The sequence below is a fragment of the Homo sapiens genome, chromosome 5 (assembly GCF_000001405.40).
Source record: "Homo sapiens chromosome 5, GRCh38.p14 Primary Assembly".
Classification (NCBI taxonomy): Eukaryota; Metazoa; Chordata; class Mammalia; order Primates; family Hominidae; genus Homo; species Homo sapiens.
Window position 1 is genome coordinate 107,609,281 of NC_000005.10, and position 19,073 is coordinate 107,628,353.

The window sequence follows — 19,073 nt, forward strand, 5'->3', positions numbered from 1 at the left end:
CAAAAGCAATGAGAATTTACTATCAATAATTTCCATTCACTTAAGCAACAACTAAAATCTGTCATTATTAAAATTACCTATAAGACTGGTAATTAAAGCTAACCGTCTGCCATGCCAGCCCTCCTCCTGCCTTCCCGTGACTTGGCCTCCTTTGATCTTTCTCTCCTGGTTATTAACATTAGCGGCAGGAGTAGTAGATCCACGTCAAAATCAGAAAAATAATTCCTAAGCAGAAGAGGTCTTAAAACACGGCAAGTGTACCCAATGCTGATCCATGCAAAAACAGGGAAGAAAAATTGCCGCTGAGCCCACGTGAGAGCTGGAGGCTGCACCACCAAAGTCGCCTCACCCTGCGTCCACCACTCCATCCACAGTGTTATGCAGGGAAAACGGATCTCTGCTAAAATTGTTTCTTCCTAAATTTACCTGCACCATACTAGCCATGCTTCCCAAGGCCACAGGCCTCCAAACACACAGTCCTTGTGCCTTCCACCTTAGCCCTCCTCCAGCCACCGTGCCCCTGCCCGCCGCCGACTAGAATAAGATGACTGAATGGTGCCTCTTGAAAGGTCGTGATAACAAATCCAATTTACGATTATCAAAGGGACAAAACCAAAAGGTGGAAGAGTCTGAATCAGTGAAAAATTATATTATCATTTAATTGTATTCATCAACAAGATCACCTCTCATTTAAGAATGAGACAGATAGGAATGTTCAATAGAAAGGGAAGGGGGAAAATTGCAGGGTGGGAATGGGAGGGAATCCCACCTGTCCTTCAAAGTGTAACCCCAAGTTAAATTCTCTTCTATTATTTCCGTCCTTAAAATAGTCAGATAGCAAGATGTTCAAAGGAACACAAAGCAGTATAGTAGAGCTGCCTTCTTTCAAAGGGGCCAGAGCAGCCCTTCGAAGAGTTATTCAGGTCACAGGGAAATTACACTTCTTTACGCATCTATAAAGAATTCAGAGTTTTCCATTTTTATTAGCATTATTATAATATTGAAGGTTTTCAGGCATATCATGAGGGGAGCATTTACAGAGACAAGCTGAGCAGACCCAGCCTCACGGCGCACCCGCCCCGCTTGAAGAAGTTCCACAGCCTGGCAGACATTTTGAAAAGCCTAATAAGCACATAGCACTTCGACTGTTAGTTTATATACTAATACAGCCAAACACGTTACGTGAAAAAGCCAAGATTCAGTTGTTTTTGTCAACTATTAGACTCAACATGATACTTTGTCTCTATGAAGGCAGACTACTTGGGGCCACTCTATTCCTTTGATAAAACTGTCATGCTATCATTGAATCATCACAAAACGTATCTCTTTTTTTAATCCTTTCTTAATTTTTGCAATTGAAAAACTACAATTACCTTTTGATTATTTTTCAGTGCATACAGTGTCAAAGTCCCCAGTTCCTGATATAAATTCCATGAATATTTGAAAAATTAATACAACTGTGTCACCCATTGTTCATTTTATTCACATCTCTTCTCGCCTTCTCCCTGGCACTTTTTCTAGCAGCCCTGAGCCTTCCATAGCGGCACGGAGGCATAGGCACATATTCAAAGGTAGAAGACTGAAAAGGTCATATAGCAAGCAGAGAATTTTCTAGCAACGCAGGTTTCGATCTTTGCTATTTCAGTGTTATTCCCGCTGAGCCTCGCGTGCCAAGAATACCACTGGCGCTGTTCAGAGACACTCATGATGACTCAATGGAGAATCAGGCGACCTGGGCATTTAACTATGCGCCTATTCCCAATGATATTCTGTCTCAAATCATTTCCATCCTCATAGAAACATGAAAGTGGGGCAATGACAGATATGAAGCCCAGCATGAACTGCCTGGAAGAACTCTGCCTAGCAACACAGCTTTATCACTCCACCACGCATATGAAGCCAGAGCCCACCGACAAAAATAATGACATAAAAACCAAGCTGGAAATGCTATAGTTTAAGAAAAGCTACAAAAATCGTATCACAGAAGAGACTGTTTAAAATCATTTTACATTCAACCAGTAAGTACAAATGAAACATTAGTTGATATTTTAACCTACAATGAAGCAAATACTGTGTCAGCATACACCTTTTTGCTATGTAAAATCACACGTTTCCCACAAAAACCTATGTTTGTAAAATTCCACGGGAAACAAGGTAAAACGGTTCGCTCAAGTCTTGCCTTAGCGTATTCCTCAATATAGTAAAAGAGGGTTGGGATTACTTTGATGACCCTTCAAGTCCGGTATGTAAATATATTAGGTTTTCTTTATTCTATTTCAGTGACACACATACATCCAGAAGGTTATTTCCTTTATTTTTCTCTTTGAGGATTCTGGGTTCTAATTGTGAATATGTGAATATGACAGGACACAGAGCATGAGCTTATAATTTTTATTCACAGGAGATCTAAGTTTGTGCTACTATAGTCACAGTGATCTTTCAACTGGTTCCAAAGATAAATATTGGTGAGGCAGCAGGCCAGGGCTCGGATGGGCATTTTTAGTACTGAAAAGGAATTAAATTAGCTAGTTGAATGCAGCATGAACCCAAGTCCTTGACTTGATTAGTAACACAAAGCACACTGTTAGCAGTGAAGGAAAAAACGAATATGTAAGGAGTAGTTATTTCAAATCATTTTCTCTGCTCGTTTTCATTTATGGAAACTAAATGGGTAACTGCTTCTGTTCCTATCTGCACAATAATTTTGACAACATATTAATATAATGTTAACATAGGATGGAAAGTGGGAATTAGCAATGATTAACAGATATTCTTCAAATATATGTACTTTCTTCAGAAGTTAACAAAGGATTTGAACATAAATTCTACCATGTCTCAAATAGCACCATTCAATAGAAAGCATCTGCACAAAAATTATCTCAGGTTATTTTACTAGTACTACATTTATTTCTCTTATTACTTTCTGATGTTTCTTGGGAGGCAAATTTTACTGATAAATATGTAAAGTTGATTAATTATACTTTCTATATCATGTATAATGAGTTGCATTATAACAACATAATAAAATTATATAGAATCCAGAAATACATGAATTATTGAGGAATGTCAGGTAAGACCATCTTATATGGCCTCCTCTGAACTCTTAAAACCAGACAGGTTACAACCAGGAAAGCCTATTTGTTGCTAGAAACTGCAATCATCAATAGCCCAAGCAAGCAAAACACTGGTCAAGTAAAAATTCTTTTTAAAATATAATTTGAAATGCAATTTAAAAAAAAAAAGTTCATCCAAAATATCTACCTTGATTAGACAGTAAACATAATTGGTAACTGTCAAGGTCCATACAGAATTAGTATTAAAAAGTTATCAGTGAGAGCATGTTCTTTGTTTAGTCAGGATATAGAAGCAAACAGAAGCATATCACTGCAATGCACAGTGAAGAACTGGAACAAAGCTGTGAGCAGCTCTCCAATATAAAGACCAGGGTTGTGATATTCCCGTCAGTCACTGTATTAATACAGGGAAAGCCTACTTAATGAACTGCTGAGAATGGAACAGAGTCACTATGAGAATACATTTTGTGTTTACCAGACTGTAAAATCTGCAATAAGATCCCAGAATCCTCTTAGATGAATGAAAGTTAAAGGAAATAACCTTCTAGACATAGAAACTCAGTAGCAAAACAGGGAATAAAATAAATAGTTTCCAAATAAAATTTCTAAAAGACTCATTGCTTTGGCAAAAGCCAAAAAAATTGCTTCATCATCTACGAACAGTGATACAGTAACACAGAAAACTAAAGATAATTTCCTGAAAGACTTGAAACTCTATAAATTTAACAATTTTCTTTCGCAATAAAAAAAAAAGATGAAGGAAAACCTTGGGAAAGGCTGTGATTTTGTACATTTTATTAACCAAGCAACATAAACTTGAATTATATCACTAAGTTTATTTGCTAGTTACTCATTTCTAAGTGTCTTACACTAATAAAAATAAAATCTCAAGTGTTTTATAAAAGTAATGGGCCTAGAAAAAATTGCTGAGGGTATTTTTTAATATCATCTAAGTTGCTTTTTTCATGCCTATGGGGTTAAAGAAATGATATGTAAGTTATTAACTATAATATGGCCAATGTAATTACTACCACCAAATTAAAACAATCTTCAAGATGTTTTAAGTATCCTAAAATGGATGAAAACACCAAAACCCCGTTAAAAACTGATGCTTGGATGGCATAGAATGACCCTTGCTATATGAACTTCTGTTCTCTCTCCATTTCCTCCTGACAGATCATGCTTCTAGAGTGAAATAAATTAAAAACAATTTTCAATTGATTGATAGCTTTTTAAACACAGTGCACCTTGAAGGAAATCATTTACATAAAGTATTTCAAGAGTTACATTGCTAAGTTAAAAATCAAAGTAAATGACCCCAATAAGAGATTCCTGAATCACTAAGTAATTTCAAATAAATGAAAAGAGAATGAAAGGCATTTTTCTCACTGGATGATAAGACTCCTGATTAAATCTTCTTCTGACACTAAAGCAGGCCTTGTAGTTCTAACAGCTCTTCATTTCAACTAAGGTCATCATGAAAAGAATGATTATCAGATAAACCCAATCAGAAAAGACTCAAAAGTTTTCAGAGCCTCCAATTCCATACGATTTCTAGGCATCCTGATTGACAGTTTTGTAAAATATAAGGATAATTAAACTGACATGAAAATCAGTACCCTGCATAAATCCTAAAAGCAGTTTATCTAACCTTTTGATCCTCAGAGAACTCAGTCGTCCTAGAACCTGTTCCTACTCACCATCTAATGAACCTTCAAAAACAGATTAACACCCAACTATCACACCCTGTGTAGTTTACACACATAATCCATATCCCCACAATATCATTGCTCTGCTCATTACACGGATAATACTTCTTGCTGGAACTAGTTCACAGCAACTTCAGTCTCTTCCCCAGGCATAAGACAAAACTGGATGGATCTTCCAGAAGGAAGCTTTGTGATACTGAGAAAAAAATTAAAATTTTACTCTTAAACCATAAACCAACTGAATATTCGACATATTAACATAGTGTTGACAATGTTTAAATTTCAAGTGTTTTCATAACATCAGGTAGTATTTTAAAGAATGTCAAATCATATACAAAGTATTACCTTATGTAAAATGTGCAATTTATTTTTAAATTATCATGGAAATATACTGTTAAAAAATAAGTTAGTCATATGAGATAACACTCAGCTTTAGATGGTTTTCTCCCAGGTGAAGGTGTTCAGACCATTTGTCATGTGTCCATTTATCATTCTGCCTAGTTTGAAGACAACACACACATACCATCTTTGAGTACCTGCAACTCCCTCTGGAGAGGAGTCTTTTCTCCAAGACCAATGGTTGTCTTAGCTTTCAGGATAGTCATGCCAAGATTTTCACATGAATTTCTTGTAAGACTCCTGGTTGTGTAACATTTTCTCTCTCAAAAATCCAGAAGGAACTTTTGAGTATTTGTGCCATATTAAAGCAAGAAAGGCAAAGATCCAAGTCATATAATAAACAGATCTTATTAAGAAGTTATGATAATATAATGAGCACTATATATAAATGTTTAATTCTTTAACAACTATTTTTTAAAGTGATACAAAAAAATATGCCATATGTTTAGAAAGCTCAGCTTTTATTGTCATTTCCTTTTCAGACATGGGATTTTACTTTATCTTGTTCTATTTTAAACAAATTATTTAGGAGCCACAAATGTTTTGATGTTGGAAAATACCTATGTTAACTGCCAAAAGAAAATTAGGTTATCTACTAGATTTTCATGCAAAAAGTATTGAGAGAAATGGCCAAGTTCTGCTCCTAAAAAGAAATTACCACTAACCTTGTTTCTCTTCCACCTTTAAAAAAAAAAATCTTTAAAATGACAAGGTAATCACAAATTGGAGTTTTAAGGGGCACCTGACTGGCTTGTCAGACTAAAGTAGCATATTAACTACACTCATTGTGGCACCATGGAAGCCTCAGTTTTTATCATTTCGATATCCCCTCTAGGGTTTCAATCTTCTCTCTTGGAGCTCAATCATGCTCTGTGATGCTCTGTTCCATCATGAGGATGCAAGAGAATTTCTATTTAAAAAAACATTCAGGGGGAGGGGGGAGTGGTATCAGGCACTACTGATTGAGAAGGCATTCCGTGATGATCCCTATTTTCAGTTAAAATGCGCACTTACAGTTTTGGATTTAACACCCCTGCCTTTGCAGTCAGACAGTCATTTAGCTGGAGTCAATCAAGCGTATGATTAGAAATAATAACTCACAAGCAATGAATTCAAAAAGATTAGATCTTTGCCGAAATGCACAAGTACAGATTCCCATTATGCATCCTTTCCTCTCTGGTTTCTAGAGAGCAGACCAAAAAACAAACAAACAAAAAAATTCTCTTGCACTCTAAAAGCTTGCTTCACTTAAAATCTGACTAATCATTCTTTTAGCTCATGACGAGAAACCTCAGTCAGTTGGAGATATAATCAACACAAAGGGAGGGGTCGCTCGTCCATCTTTTCTTCCCTCCAGTTACAGCAAAAGCTGTATTTTACACTGAATGAATGGGTCAGAAGTTAGACACACACACCTTGTTTACATAAAATAAGAAAGATAAATAGACTATGGTTAAAACCCAAAGATACTTAATATCCAAAACAAGAAAGAACAATTCTGCATTTATAAATTATTCTTCAAATTATATTTCATTTCAAGATCTGGTATTATATTTTAAGCAGGGGGTTAGAGAGACAGAAAAACTATGTTTGGATTTAATAAGTATTATATTGAAATCAGTAACCCAAGTTCAATAAAACCTTTCCATGTAGCATCTTTGATGAAGTCAATAGGATTTAATTTCAATAAAGAAGTTTGGAGAATGAAAGCGAATTATAAGATTTTATTTTATGTGGTACTTTATCTTTAATCAGAGCACATATAATTCATGGTCAAGTGTGCTAATAATGGGTAGAATGATTCCAAAGGGGAAAAGATTGACAAAAATGATAAATGTTTTGCTTTAGAATATAATATAGAGGGGATGGGTCGATTTGCCTTCCCAGCTATGCTTGGTTTAGGCTGCACTACCGCAGCACACACTGATGACACTAACATAATTCATACAAATGATGATAGCAGAGAGCAGCCTGGGACTTGAAAAATTTCTGCAGATAAATCCCAAGGCTGAATAAACCACATGTGGGTAACTGAGAGCTGATGCAGTATAGGAAATATACATGAATAAAGTCCATGCACATTCTTTTTAAAAAATAATAAATAAAAAGAAAGCTCCAGAGCTGCTCGTGTGTGTGTGTATGTGCGTGTGTATGTGTGTCTGTGTGTATTCTGGACAAAGGAAGAAAGAAAAGAGCCACATTTCAGTTGCTAGTAGAAAGTATCCTGTCAATTATAACAAGTATCTGAACAGTAGCTATATCTGGGCAGTTAGCTTCATCAGTAAAAACTCACTACAAGTTGTAATCTTACAAAATCACACTGTGAGAACTTTTAGGAGCCAATCCTTTTTACTCAACAAACAAAAATCACATTTTTATAAATCCAAATATTAATTTGAATGAGTTCAGGTCCTTTTGATTACATCTGAAAATAGCCAGACCTAACATTTCATTTTCTTCCAGGAGCCAATCAGGGGATCAATTTCTACTCCTTTGCCTGATTGTTATGTCTAAGGGCAGAGAGCACATTAGCAGTTTTGTGGAGGAAACTCTGACCCACCCTTAATGTACTTTTATGGAAGGATCACCAAGAACCAAATCTAAAGGCTTTTGCCCACTGCATATCTTCAGCTTTAACACAGAAAATATTAACCCTAATTCAGCAGATACCGCTACTCTTATCCTACCTTACCATAAATTTAAACCCATAAAAAAACTAAACATTACACATACTTACATGTGCACATACACACACACACACACACACACACACACAGAGAGAGAGAGAGAGAGAGAAAGAGAGAGAGAGAGAACCACAGAGTCTCCAAATACAGGAGAAAATGGAACTGGAACAGTATTTCCTACTCACTTAACCATTAATTCTAGGAACATTCATTCAGCACCAACCAGATGCTGGTCACTGTTTTAAAAACCTGGAGAGATATCAAAGTTGATAGAATAGATTTCTGCCTGTTTTGGGGAAGTTTGCTTTCTAATCAGAGAAGCAGGTAAAGAGTCACCACCAGCACCACCACCCAATGCTCACAACAGCTTTCCCCGCCACCATTATCTGCAATTTCAGACATGACAATGAAGCGGGAAAGTAAGTAAAATAGGAAGAAAAGAAAATGCGTATTGAGAGGCAAGTTTGCCTGAAGAGTTTCCACTTGTTCAAAAGGAAATAGGAAGAATTAATAACTATTAATAATATAAGTACTATTCTTCTTTTCTACCTTCTAGTGGGAGAACTTGAGATGGGCAATGCAGGATTTGGACTGAAGTGCTCTGTTGCGGCTAGAGTGAAATTCAAATAGAAGTGGAAACACAATACAGTTTAATTTTTTGCCTGATAGGAGGGCATCTACTTAAAGTAAGTGGACCTATAAAAAACTCAGATTCAAAAATCATGCACTTCAAGCTGGGCACAGTGGTGTGTACCTACTATAACAGCTACTCACGAAGCGGAGGTGGGGAAGACTGCTAGAAGCCCAGGCACAGGAGACCATCCTGGACAAAATAGCAAGACGCTGTCTCTGTTTAAAACAAAAAAAATCATGGATTTCAAGAAAAAAAAAAGACCCAGCACACAACCTACAATCTTTCATTCATTCATTATGCAAAGATTTTCTGAGCTCCTACTATGTACCATGCCCATTCTTGGTACAATATCTTTATGTGCATAGTATATATGCAATCCAAAATATTCAGCCTGATCAGAAATTCTCCTCTGTTTCTTTTGAAAAAGTAAGGCCAAAGAAGAAATATTTGAGGCTTTCAGTGCTAATTTGATAATAAAATCTTGATGTATTTCTGTTACTTGATAATAGTAAAAAAATGTGTGAGCATGAAATTCTAAACAAAATTCATTATATGAACTTGTGACATTCTCATGCACTGGGTTTTTTTTCTTCCATTTCCAAACACTAATTGACAGCACTTGAAAACAGTGATTCAGCTTCCGCATGTCATATGATTCCTAGGGACTGTAGCTATATTCCTCAGGCCAGTAGACTGACAAATCAAAAGATAAGAAGTACCTCTCAGCTTCAATCAACTGAAATGTGTCAGAAAATACATTTGGCATAATCTTCAGAAATGTCAGATTTGGCGATGACAGGATAGGCACAGTTTTCCTGACAGTTTTAGCACACCAAAGTTTCAGAGTCCGGGTTAGAATGAGAAGGAAAATAACCACTTTTGTCTGCTATTTTGGAGAAAACTTATACAAAACAAGAGGAAATCTATGACATGCCACTTGAGTCTCTGACTAACATGTTATAAAATGCCTGACTGCCTAATTAATGGAATACACAACTTGGGAAAGTGTCCACTAAGATTAAAAAGGAATGAGGTATCTTTTCATATTTTTGCTTAGAAAACCATCCTAACTCCTTCTTAAGGGATATACCCATAATCATTCCTCTTCACATTCCCAATGTGCCTATGCCAGTTGTGTACTCTTTTTTTTTTTTATTTTGAGACGGAGTCTTGCACTGTCGCCCAGGCTGGAGTGCAGTGGTGCGATCTCAGCTCACTGCAAGCTCTGCCTCCCGGGTTCATGCCATTCTCCTGCCTCAGCCTCCCGAGTAGCTGGGACTACAGGCACCTGACACCACGCCTGGCTAATTTCTTTTTTATATTTTTAGTAGAGACGGGGTTTCGCTGTGTTAGCCAGGATGGTGTCTATCTCCTGACCTCGTGATCCACCCACCTCGGCCTCCCAAAGTGCTGGGATTACAGGTGTGAGCCACCGCACCCGGCCAGTTGTGTACTCTTATAAATATGTGTCTCATGAGTGAAGTAACCAACAGCATTGAGAGAAACTGTTGAGAAACCAAAATGTAACTGAATATATTACATAGCATACCTCCACTTGACCTTGCATGTCATCCATGCAAGCCTTGCCAAATAAAATATTTAAAAAATCAAAGCAAATTAAAATGCAAGAAGGTAAATTCTAATCTAAATCATGCTCCTTTCTGAATTCTACATCAGCTGGACTTTCTTTTTTTTTTTTTAAGACAGAGTCTCTCTCTGTTGCCCAGGCTGGAGTGCAGTGGTCTGATCTCAGCTCACTGCAACCTCTGCCTCCTGAGTTCACGCGATTCTCCTGCCTCAGCCTCTCAAGTAGCTGGGACTACAGGCATGCTACCATACCCGGCTAATTTTTATATATTTTTTAGCAGAGACGGGGTTTCACTATGTTGGTCAGGCTGGTCTTGAACTCCTGGCCTTGTGATCCGCCCACCTCAGCCTCCCAAAGTGCTGGGATTACAGGCATGAGCCACCACGCCTAGCCTATCAGCTGGACTTTCTTCTGTCTTTCAGTAGCATCACAATCCTTAGGCCCCCACACACAATCATATTCTACTAATTGTGAATTACAGAAAGAACAGCTTACTCGTTTCTCTAAGAGACAGTACACAGAGCTAAGACCTTTGTTTCTACCTCTGGCTACAAAACTGTGACTCCTCCAATTTCCCATTTGTAAATAGATCTCCAAAAGAAATCAGCCCGAGGGCACTAAATGGCTACAGATCTCTGCAGAAGCACTGTAGGCTGACAGTAGCAAACCTCAGTGAGCTTCTCAGATAGGAGATACAGAGTGCCTTATTCAGACACTTCCTTCCAAGCCCTCTAACAACTCCAGCTCTGTCAACCTTCATCTGATTTTCATTTATAAATGAAGTTGCACAAATCTCCAACAATAAAGAATATTGACAAAATCTTTGTTAACATTTGGCATTTCTCATTTTCTAAAAAACAAAAACAAGATTCCCATTTGGGCAACTCCTAATTGTGCTGGCCACGTTTCATTTACTTTCACCACCAATTCAGCAGCAATCTGTCAATATTTGTACCGTAAATTACCAAATACTCTAACTTACTTATTTCAAACTGATTGTGCATTTACATATTTATGAACGTTATACACAGAAAGTTAAGATTCATTTCTCTTTTGCCTAAGTCTATACATACAGTCTCCCAATGAGAGAAGTACCAAGTCAGCTAAAAGAGATGGTTAAAAAATACATTTTTTTCTGACTTAATAATGGGTTCTGTATTTTCAGTATTGCTTCCTTTTCAAGAGAGCAAATTGTTTTTCACTATATTTGGCAAATGCAACATAAGATAACACTGCAAAAGACCCTTATTCAATGTATTCCAAGAGTTAATTATTTCAGGATATGTACTCTTTAGTGAATATTTCTTAAGTATGAACTAAGTGCCCCCTACCATGCATAATTAAGAAAATAGGATGGGGTAAAATAGAGTTGAAAAGTCCCTCCTATTAACTTACAGGCTAAAGGAAAAAAATACAGGCAAATAATTACAATATAAAATAAGTACTACGATAATGGAGTTTTATGTGCAAAACTTTAGGTGCAAAGAAGCAGGAATAACTAATGTGACCTGAGAACTGAAGAATAAACAGGAACCAATAAGGTGGAGCAGAGGAGTAAGAAAAATCCATATTTGGATCATCACGTGTAAGAGAGTGAGAAAGAATGGAACATTAGGGAAGGGAAAGTAATTTGTTATGTCTAGAAAGTAGTGGATGGGAGGACAATGGTAAATATTAATATGAGAAGATGGGGCTAGAAGGTAAAGAATCATCCTTTAGGAAATGTGGAACAATCCAAGAATTTTAAGCAAAAGAAAGATGTGATCATATTCACACTTCTGAAAGGCAACTGTGGCAGACAGGCCTGGCAGAAGATAACTTTAGCAGAAACATCTAGGAGAAAACAGACTGGGGGGCTGGAGTAAGAGAGGACAAAGAAGCACAAAGAAGCTACCAGACAGGCCCAGGGTTGGGAAGCCGGCTTCTGCTTCCAGCCCTCAGCACTGGCAAGAATCCTTGCAACAGAAAGCAGCACTGGGCCATTCTCTGCCTAGAAGTGGTCATTCTTCACAGTAGGGATGGGTACCTCATTGAAGGGCAAAAGAAAAATAAATGCTGAGACTTTCAATTTTAGTCTCTCAACCAAAAGGATCCCCCTAAAACAATGTGGCCTACTTAAAGTCCAGTCAACAAAATTTCATATCTGATTATATGAGGGAAGCCATGGAACACAAAGCTGTAGAAAACGCATTTTGAGACAGGCAAATCCTGAATCCATCTCCTGGCTCCACCCCCCTGAGGCAGCTGATCATGAGAGAGCTACTTTCCAGTTTATTCTTATGTGTAAATAGGACTAATACCTAATTCACAGGTTTATTATGAGGATTAAATGAGCATTAAACTAGAAAACATGTAATTATTATCACCATCACTATTAAATAATAATGGATAAAATAACGGGGGATTTAAAAAGAGGAAGGAAAAGAGGATGTCACAGGTACTATTTTGGTAGATTTTAGTTGCTATTAACATAAAAGAAACAAGATGTGAGTTTGGTTTTAGATGAGCTGTTTTTTAAGGTGAAAAGAGATGGGTGTTGAAGACAGAGGCATTTAAACAGGAGATAATATTGTCCTCCTCTATTTGACTTTGCCTTGATTTGATCATTTTCAGAACTGTAATGTAACCATGTATCACTCTTCTACTTTTTAACTGAATGCATAACTGCCTTAAGAAAAAAAAAAAAGACTCAATTTTATAGGTTATTTCCCCTGGCAAGTAGGTGATCAAGTATTTACCAATGTGACAAGTCTAAATATGGGACCTACTAGAGGGAGGGAACATGTTCCTCTTAATTCTTTTTTCTATCCTGCTGCCTAGAAGGTAAGTCTGATGTCTGGAGCCCAAGCAGCCATTGTGAGCCATAAGGACATAAACTACATCCTAAGGAATGGCACAGTAGTGGGATTCTCAACTGCTTTGCTACCCTAGCTGCACAGAATCACCCACGAAGCTTTTAATAAAATCCCCATGTCTCACCCTCAAATGTCCTGACTGAATTGCTGGGTTGGGGTCAACATCTGGATATTTGAGTATGGGTATTAAAACCTTTCCAGGTGAACAAAAATATGAAGCTATGGTTGAAAAATCACACATCATTATCATCTAATATTATTTAGTATCTTATTCTATCAAGACTTCTGCTAGAATGGCATAACTAGTACTAAAAGGGTAATAATGGCTACCACTTACTGAATATCTCCATTATGCTACTATGCTCAACTCCTTGCAAATCGGTTTACCTACGTTCTCTAAGTCAAGCCTTGTAACAACATCCTGATGTCAATATTATTATTTTCATTTTACTCCTTAGAAAATTCAGGTGGATTGAATTTCAGTAATAGACGTGGAGTCTCAAAAGTTGAATACTCGGCCGGGCGCGGTGGCTCACGCCTGTAATCCCAGCACTTTAGGAGGCCGAGGCGGGTGGATCATGAGGTCAGGAGATCGAGACCATCCTGGCTAACGAGGTGAAACCCCGTCTCTACTAAAAATACAAAAAATTAGCCGGGCGCGGTGGCGGGCGCCTGTAGTCCCAGCTACTCGGGAGGCTGAGGCAGGAGAATGGCGTGAACCCGGGAAGCGGAGCTTGCAGTGAGCCGAGATTGCGCCACTGCAGTCCGCAGTCCGGCCTGGGTGACAGAGCGAGACTCCGTCTCAAAAAAAAAAAAAAAAAAAAAAAAAAAAAAAGTTGAATACTCACAAGTATTCAAGCCCAGAACTGACTAAATGCAAGGCAGTCCTAACCATCACACAGTACTGCCTCCCCAGATGGGTTTTACTTCCTTTTATTTCATCTAGAGGTACCAGTGAAGATGCTAATGAGCAGTGAGATGGTGGGGCAGGGAGGAGAAGAAAGAGGACACGTAATAGTTAAGATTCATCTCTCTGAATAATCAGTAGTTAACCTGACTTCTTATTAAGAGTTTGCATTTGTTTTCATGCAAATTTATCTCTGATCTAGATCCAGAAATGTACCAAATACAGTTTAAATTCCAATATATGAGAAGAAGCACCAAATCCTTACCTATTTTCAGCTTCCTGGGTTATAAATTTAAATAAATCATGTGAAATACATAGAAAAACTCTTTCTTTCCTAATGTTTAATGATAATTTATAGCCCTAGAACATTTGTAAATTTAACAGCCCATCAAAGTGTCTGAGAGCACACCAGTTCTAAGGACTCATTAAGTGACATTAAACATAACTTTCCATGAAGTACTGTACAGCATGAATAGGTGGGCAGGCTGGTGAACAGCCATCACTACAATAATTTATTGTTTGTAATTTTTGCCTTATTACTTCCAAAAACATTTTTTAAAAGAGGAGGGGGAGATTCAAAAAAAAAAAAACAACTACCACTTTGCCAATACTATAAATCACAAAGGCAGAAAGAGCTTTTATGATCCTAAGGATGTGCTAATTCTTTCTCCAGTCACCCAAAAAATGACAAGAAAGAAGTTTTGTGGTAAAGACTTATAGGATTTTAAAAATTCATTTCTTTGAACAGGGCTGTATTGTTTCTAAGTCACCTCCTCCCCAAATTCCAAAGATTATCAGTAAAATGAAACTAAAGAAAGGTAGAATTTTTTTTCCAATACACAAGTGGGGGAGTCGCCTACTTCATCCAATTCACATTCTTAAAATAGAATTTCTTTTGCTCTAGAAATATGCAGAGTTAAGACCCGAAATAGGCCTTAATCTAGTATATCTGGATTTTACAATATCACTAAGTGTCACCCTAGTTTTGTCAGGGCATTCATCCTACCTTAATAAGTAAAATGAGGACACTAACGATCTATAATTAAAAGGTAATATTAACTCAAAGGCAAAAGTGACCCACAGACTAAGTTATAATGACAAAAGTCAATGGCTGAAGTTTAGCCTTCCGACCTGCATAAGAAACATCCTTCACACATTTTCTTTAAAACAGCCCAATCAGACAGTGAGGAACATTATACAACATTCATGGTTTTCATTCTTTCACTACATGATGGCAGACATAATAGAATTCAAAAGTTTTAACTATCAGTGCATTAAGCATAATGTAATAATTATGCTGATGGCACAATTTTTACTATAAAGTAGATCACTTATTTGGTTTAGGCTTAGCCTAAAAGATTGTTTTTTTCCTCTTTTTCTAGACATGTGGTCCAGCACAGGTGTCTATATTCCTTTGTCAAATTCTGGTTATCACTTTTACTAATTTGGTTGACTAAAAATATTCTCTCCATAAACTTCAACAACTTGATAGTGAGTATCTGCAGCAGAAATAGTCTTCCTGTATAAAAGTCATGGATTAACTCCACCTCAAAAGAGCAGCCATTTTGAAAATGAACCCATCAAAATCACAAATAACCTTAGCTAATTCCCTTTAGTGTTCTTATGCTAAGTAACAACATATATAATAGTCCCAAAAAAATTTGTGTCTAGTATATGTGAGGTATTCATTGTTTACCTTTAAAACCTCCTTTCTGAACAACATTAAGAGAAAACAATACGGTTTTCACAAAAATTATATTTTATATATAAACATTCATTTACCAACTACTTAATACAATTTCAGCCAAACAAAAATAGCTTCAGTAATTTGTACTGGGTTAACTTTAACATTCCTGTAGCTTTCTGTGTTTTTATCCAGCATGCATGCACAATGCTGGCCTTAACGCAATTCAAAATGTGAACATGTAAATATGTCTGAGAGATTTATTAATTGAAAGTAGCGGAAACTCACCAAAATAACTTCCAAACTTACGCTGTAGCAACTAATTTTTGAAATACTATGCAGAGCTAATAAAGAAGGAAACTTTTTAAAATTTTTATTTCTGAATAGCCATTGGTTTGACTCAACTGAGAAAATTTCATTGGCTGTTTTGACATTAGGTGGCCAGCTGGTATATACTCTAATTTCACAGGTGAGGTTTTTGAGATTGTCTATGCATTCTTATATGCAGCTACCACCAATAAGTAAGAAAGAATGATTATTGAATTCAATCACCAATTTCTCCCAATATATATGTACAAAGCAGAACAAAGAAAAATAAAAAAAAAATCACCAGCAGGCAGCATGCCTTGTTGATTATTTTCCCATCACTAATAACAATTTATATAAACTACAAAACATGTTATAATTTGAAGCAATTTATTCACATCTAAAATTATTACTCTAATTCCTTATTAATTGGTGTTAAGTAAGAATTACCAGATTATTCCAAAGCTAATATTGCATAACAGCAAGCAGAAACAGGTTTAGCAATCATCTAAAATTAGCTTATTCACTGGAAAATAAAGATTGAATGTTAAGGTATAAAATTATTCTAAATCCCCAAACACACCAGAACCAATTGTGAAATTAAAATATGACACTTTCCATAATTCAAACTACAGTACTTGATTTTCATCTTTCTCCTCAGCTACCCCTAAATTAAATTAGTCTTATTGATTATAACTCAGAAATCCCTGTCTTGTTACTATGATTTTCAAATTTTAATGAAATGTACAATTTAGTTGAACATAGTTAAGTTGGTTTTCTTAAATTACAATATAGAAGATTAAGTATAGGCTCAACAAATCTCCTCATTACTATAGCTACAGACACATTGAAAGCCAATTCCTTTGCTTGCTTATGACAACTGATAAATTCATGCATTACAAACCTGTTTTCAAGTCTGTCATGACAGATGATCACTCACTGAAGTAAGATCTTATGAACTGATTATCAGTGTTATTTAATGAAGCACTGGCTGCACCTAGGTACTGGAGTGAAATAGAAGTCCTAGTCCAATTAAAATGTGGTGCTGTGTACAAATGGTTGTTAATAACTTTAGTAAATGCAGAACCACCATTTGAAATTCACAAGTCATCATCCTAGCAAACAGAATAGTACACAGTATGTCTTCTTTTTTTTTCTTACTATTTTTTTGAGACAAGTTCTTACTCTGGCTCTATCACCCAGAGTGGAGTGAAGTAGCGCAGCCATAGCTCACTGTAACCTCAAACTCCTGAGCTCAAAGGATCTTCCTCCCTTAGGTAGTAGCTAGGACTATAGGTACACACCACCACACCTGGCTAATTAATTTAAAAAAAATTTTTTTTAGAGATGGGATATCTCTATGTTGCCCAGACTGGTCTCAAACTCCTGGCCTCCAGCAATCCTCCCACCTCACCTCCCAAAGCCCTGGGACTGCAAGCATGAGCCACCATGCCCAGCTATATTTTCTGTAAATTGCTAATGAGAATGAAACATGTATGCTGTGGACAGAAGCCTTGTTGGACCTAGCGCCCATGCTGGGTCCTTTGCCTTAATAAAACATAACTCTGGCATTACATATATAATTAACAGCCTCAAAGAACATGTTTCTTTATTAAACTCTGACTGTTTCAGCATTATTTTCAGTACATTTAGATTTAAGTTTGGTTTTGATTTTTTTTAACTTAAGTGAAAAGTATTTCTTTCTTATCAGCATTTCTTTGACTTTCACAGTTGGTGGTGCCCTGAGCAAAAATGAATGGATGCCTAGACCACCCCAGACCATTCCTCCTTCCTCCCCAAACCAAAGCTGTGGAACTAACTCTTAACTGTCTTATTTGTAAACAGTGGCTGTATTCATGGCTAATATTGTAAGATTTTCTGTGTAGTATCATCAAATTTAATAATTCCTTAACAGGAACTGTTCATTAAGGGTTGCTTTCTATTAAAAAATAGGTATGTGCTACCTTTTCAATCTTCTTCTCATAATATTTGAGTGATTTATTTCCATTTTGAATCTTTCTGTTTGTTAACTTTGGTGAAATTAATATACTATTACTAAAAAAGCACATTAGAGTAACTGGATGAATGACTTGAGCTCTCAGCTCTCTTCATCCCAACAAATGGGGATGAAACATTCATTTTCTTCACATAGATATAATAAATGTTATCAGCCAGTTTCTCACCTGAGGAATTGTTACTGAGGGAGTGCTGAGCATACAAATTCCTATATCAGAACTATCTTCTTTCTCAACAAAATGCAAGGCAAGTCTTCATTAACTACTGCCTGGTCATTTACAACACACACCAAAAATAAATGAGGATGCTATTTAAGATAAGAATACAATAATGTTTAAAGAGTATTAAGCCACATCAGATGCGGTGGCACGGGCCTGTAGTCCCAGCTACTCAGGAGGCTGAAGCTGGAGGACTGCTTGAGCCCAGGAGTTCGAGGTTGCTGTGAGCTATGATTGTGCCATTGCACTCCAACCTGGGTGACAGATCAAGACCACATCTCAAAAAAAAAAAAAAAAAAAAAGGAAAAGGAGTATTAAGCCATTGTCATAAGTCACTAATTCTCAGCTGTAAATATACTTAAATATATTTAAGTGTAATCTTTCATTTGTTGAATCATGTATTTTATATTTGATGAATTTCCATTTCAATTACCACAATGATGTTTACACAAGTTGCAAACATTTGTTTTTACTAGAAGAGACTAAGTCCTATTCATTAGCATTGCTCACTGTCAATTATGAAATACATTTATTATCTCCATCAGAGCTATACGATACTTAGTTTCAAAATACATGTCATTACTCAATGAGAATGAATTAAAATAAAGCATCAAGATTAACTAGGCTAGATCTATAGTAATATATCATTCAAATAATAAAAATTAATGCTTATTAATTTCTTACTGCATGCCATGTACAGTACTAAGCACTTCACATATAATAACTCAATGTCATCCATAAAATAACACTGTGAGATAGGTATTGTTATCATATCTATTTTACAGATAGGAATAACGATGCACCAAGAAGGTAAAGAACTTGATTAAGACTACACAGCTAGTGGAAGATAATTGCTTCTAAAGCTTATGTTCTAACATCTAAAATAAGCCAGTTATGTCATGATGCCTCTTAAGAAGTCTCATATGAATCAAATGCTCTATATTACCAGCACCTGGAGAACTTTAATTTTAAAAATAAATAGGCTTATTAAGTTACACA

The 19,073-nt window shown here is 36.4% G+C and overlaps 1 protein-coding gene across 2 annotated transcripts in view, besides 1 other annotated feature; it reads right to left on the bottom strand.

The window, feature by feature from the left end:
- The window catches only part of EFNA5 (ephrin A5), a 294,044-nt gene that overhangs the window by 232,387 nt on the left and 42,584 nt on the right, over positions 1-19,073 (bottom strand). The window lies entirely within an intron of this gene.
- Positions 1,092-2,291: an enhancer, noted in NCBI's record as "MED14-independent group 3 enhancer chr5:106946073-106947272 (GRCh37/hg19 assembly coordinates)". NCBI's record gives its function as "activates an origin of replication core promoter dependent on BRD2, BRD4, P300/CBP and CDK7 cofactors, and independent of MED14, by STARR-seq in HCT116 cells {active_cell/tissue: HCT116}" and the evidence as "EXISTENCE:reporter gene assay evidence [ECO:0000049][PMID:35650434]".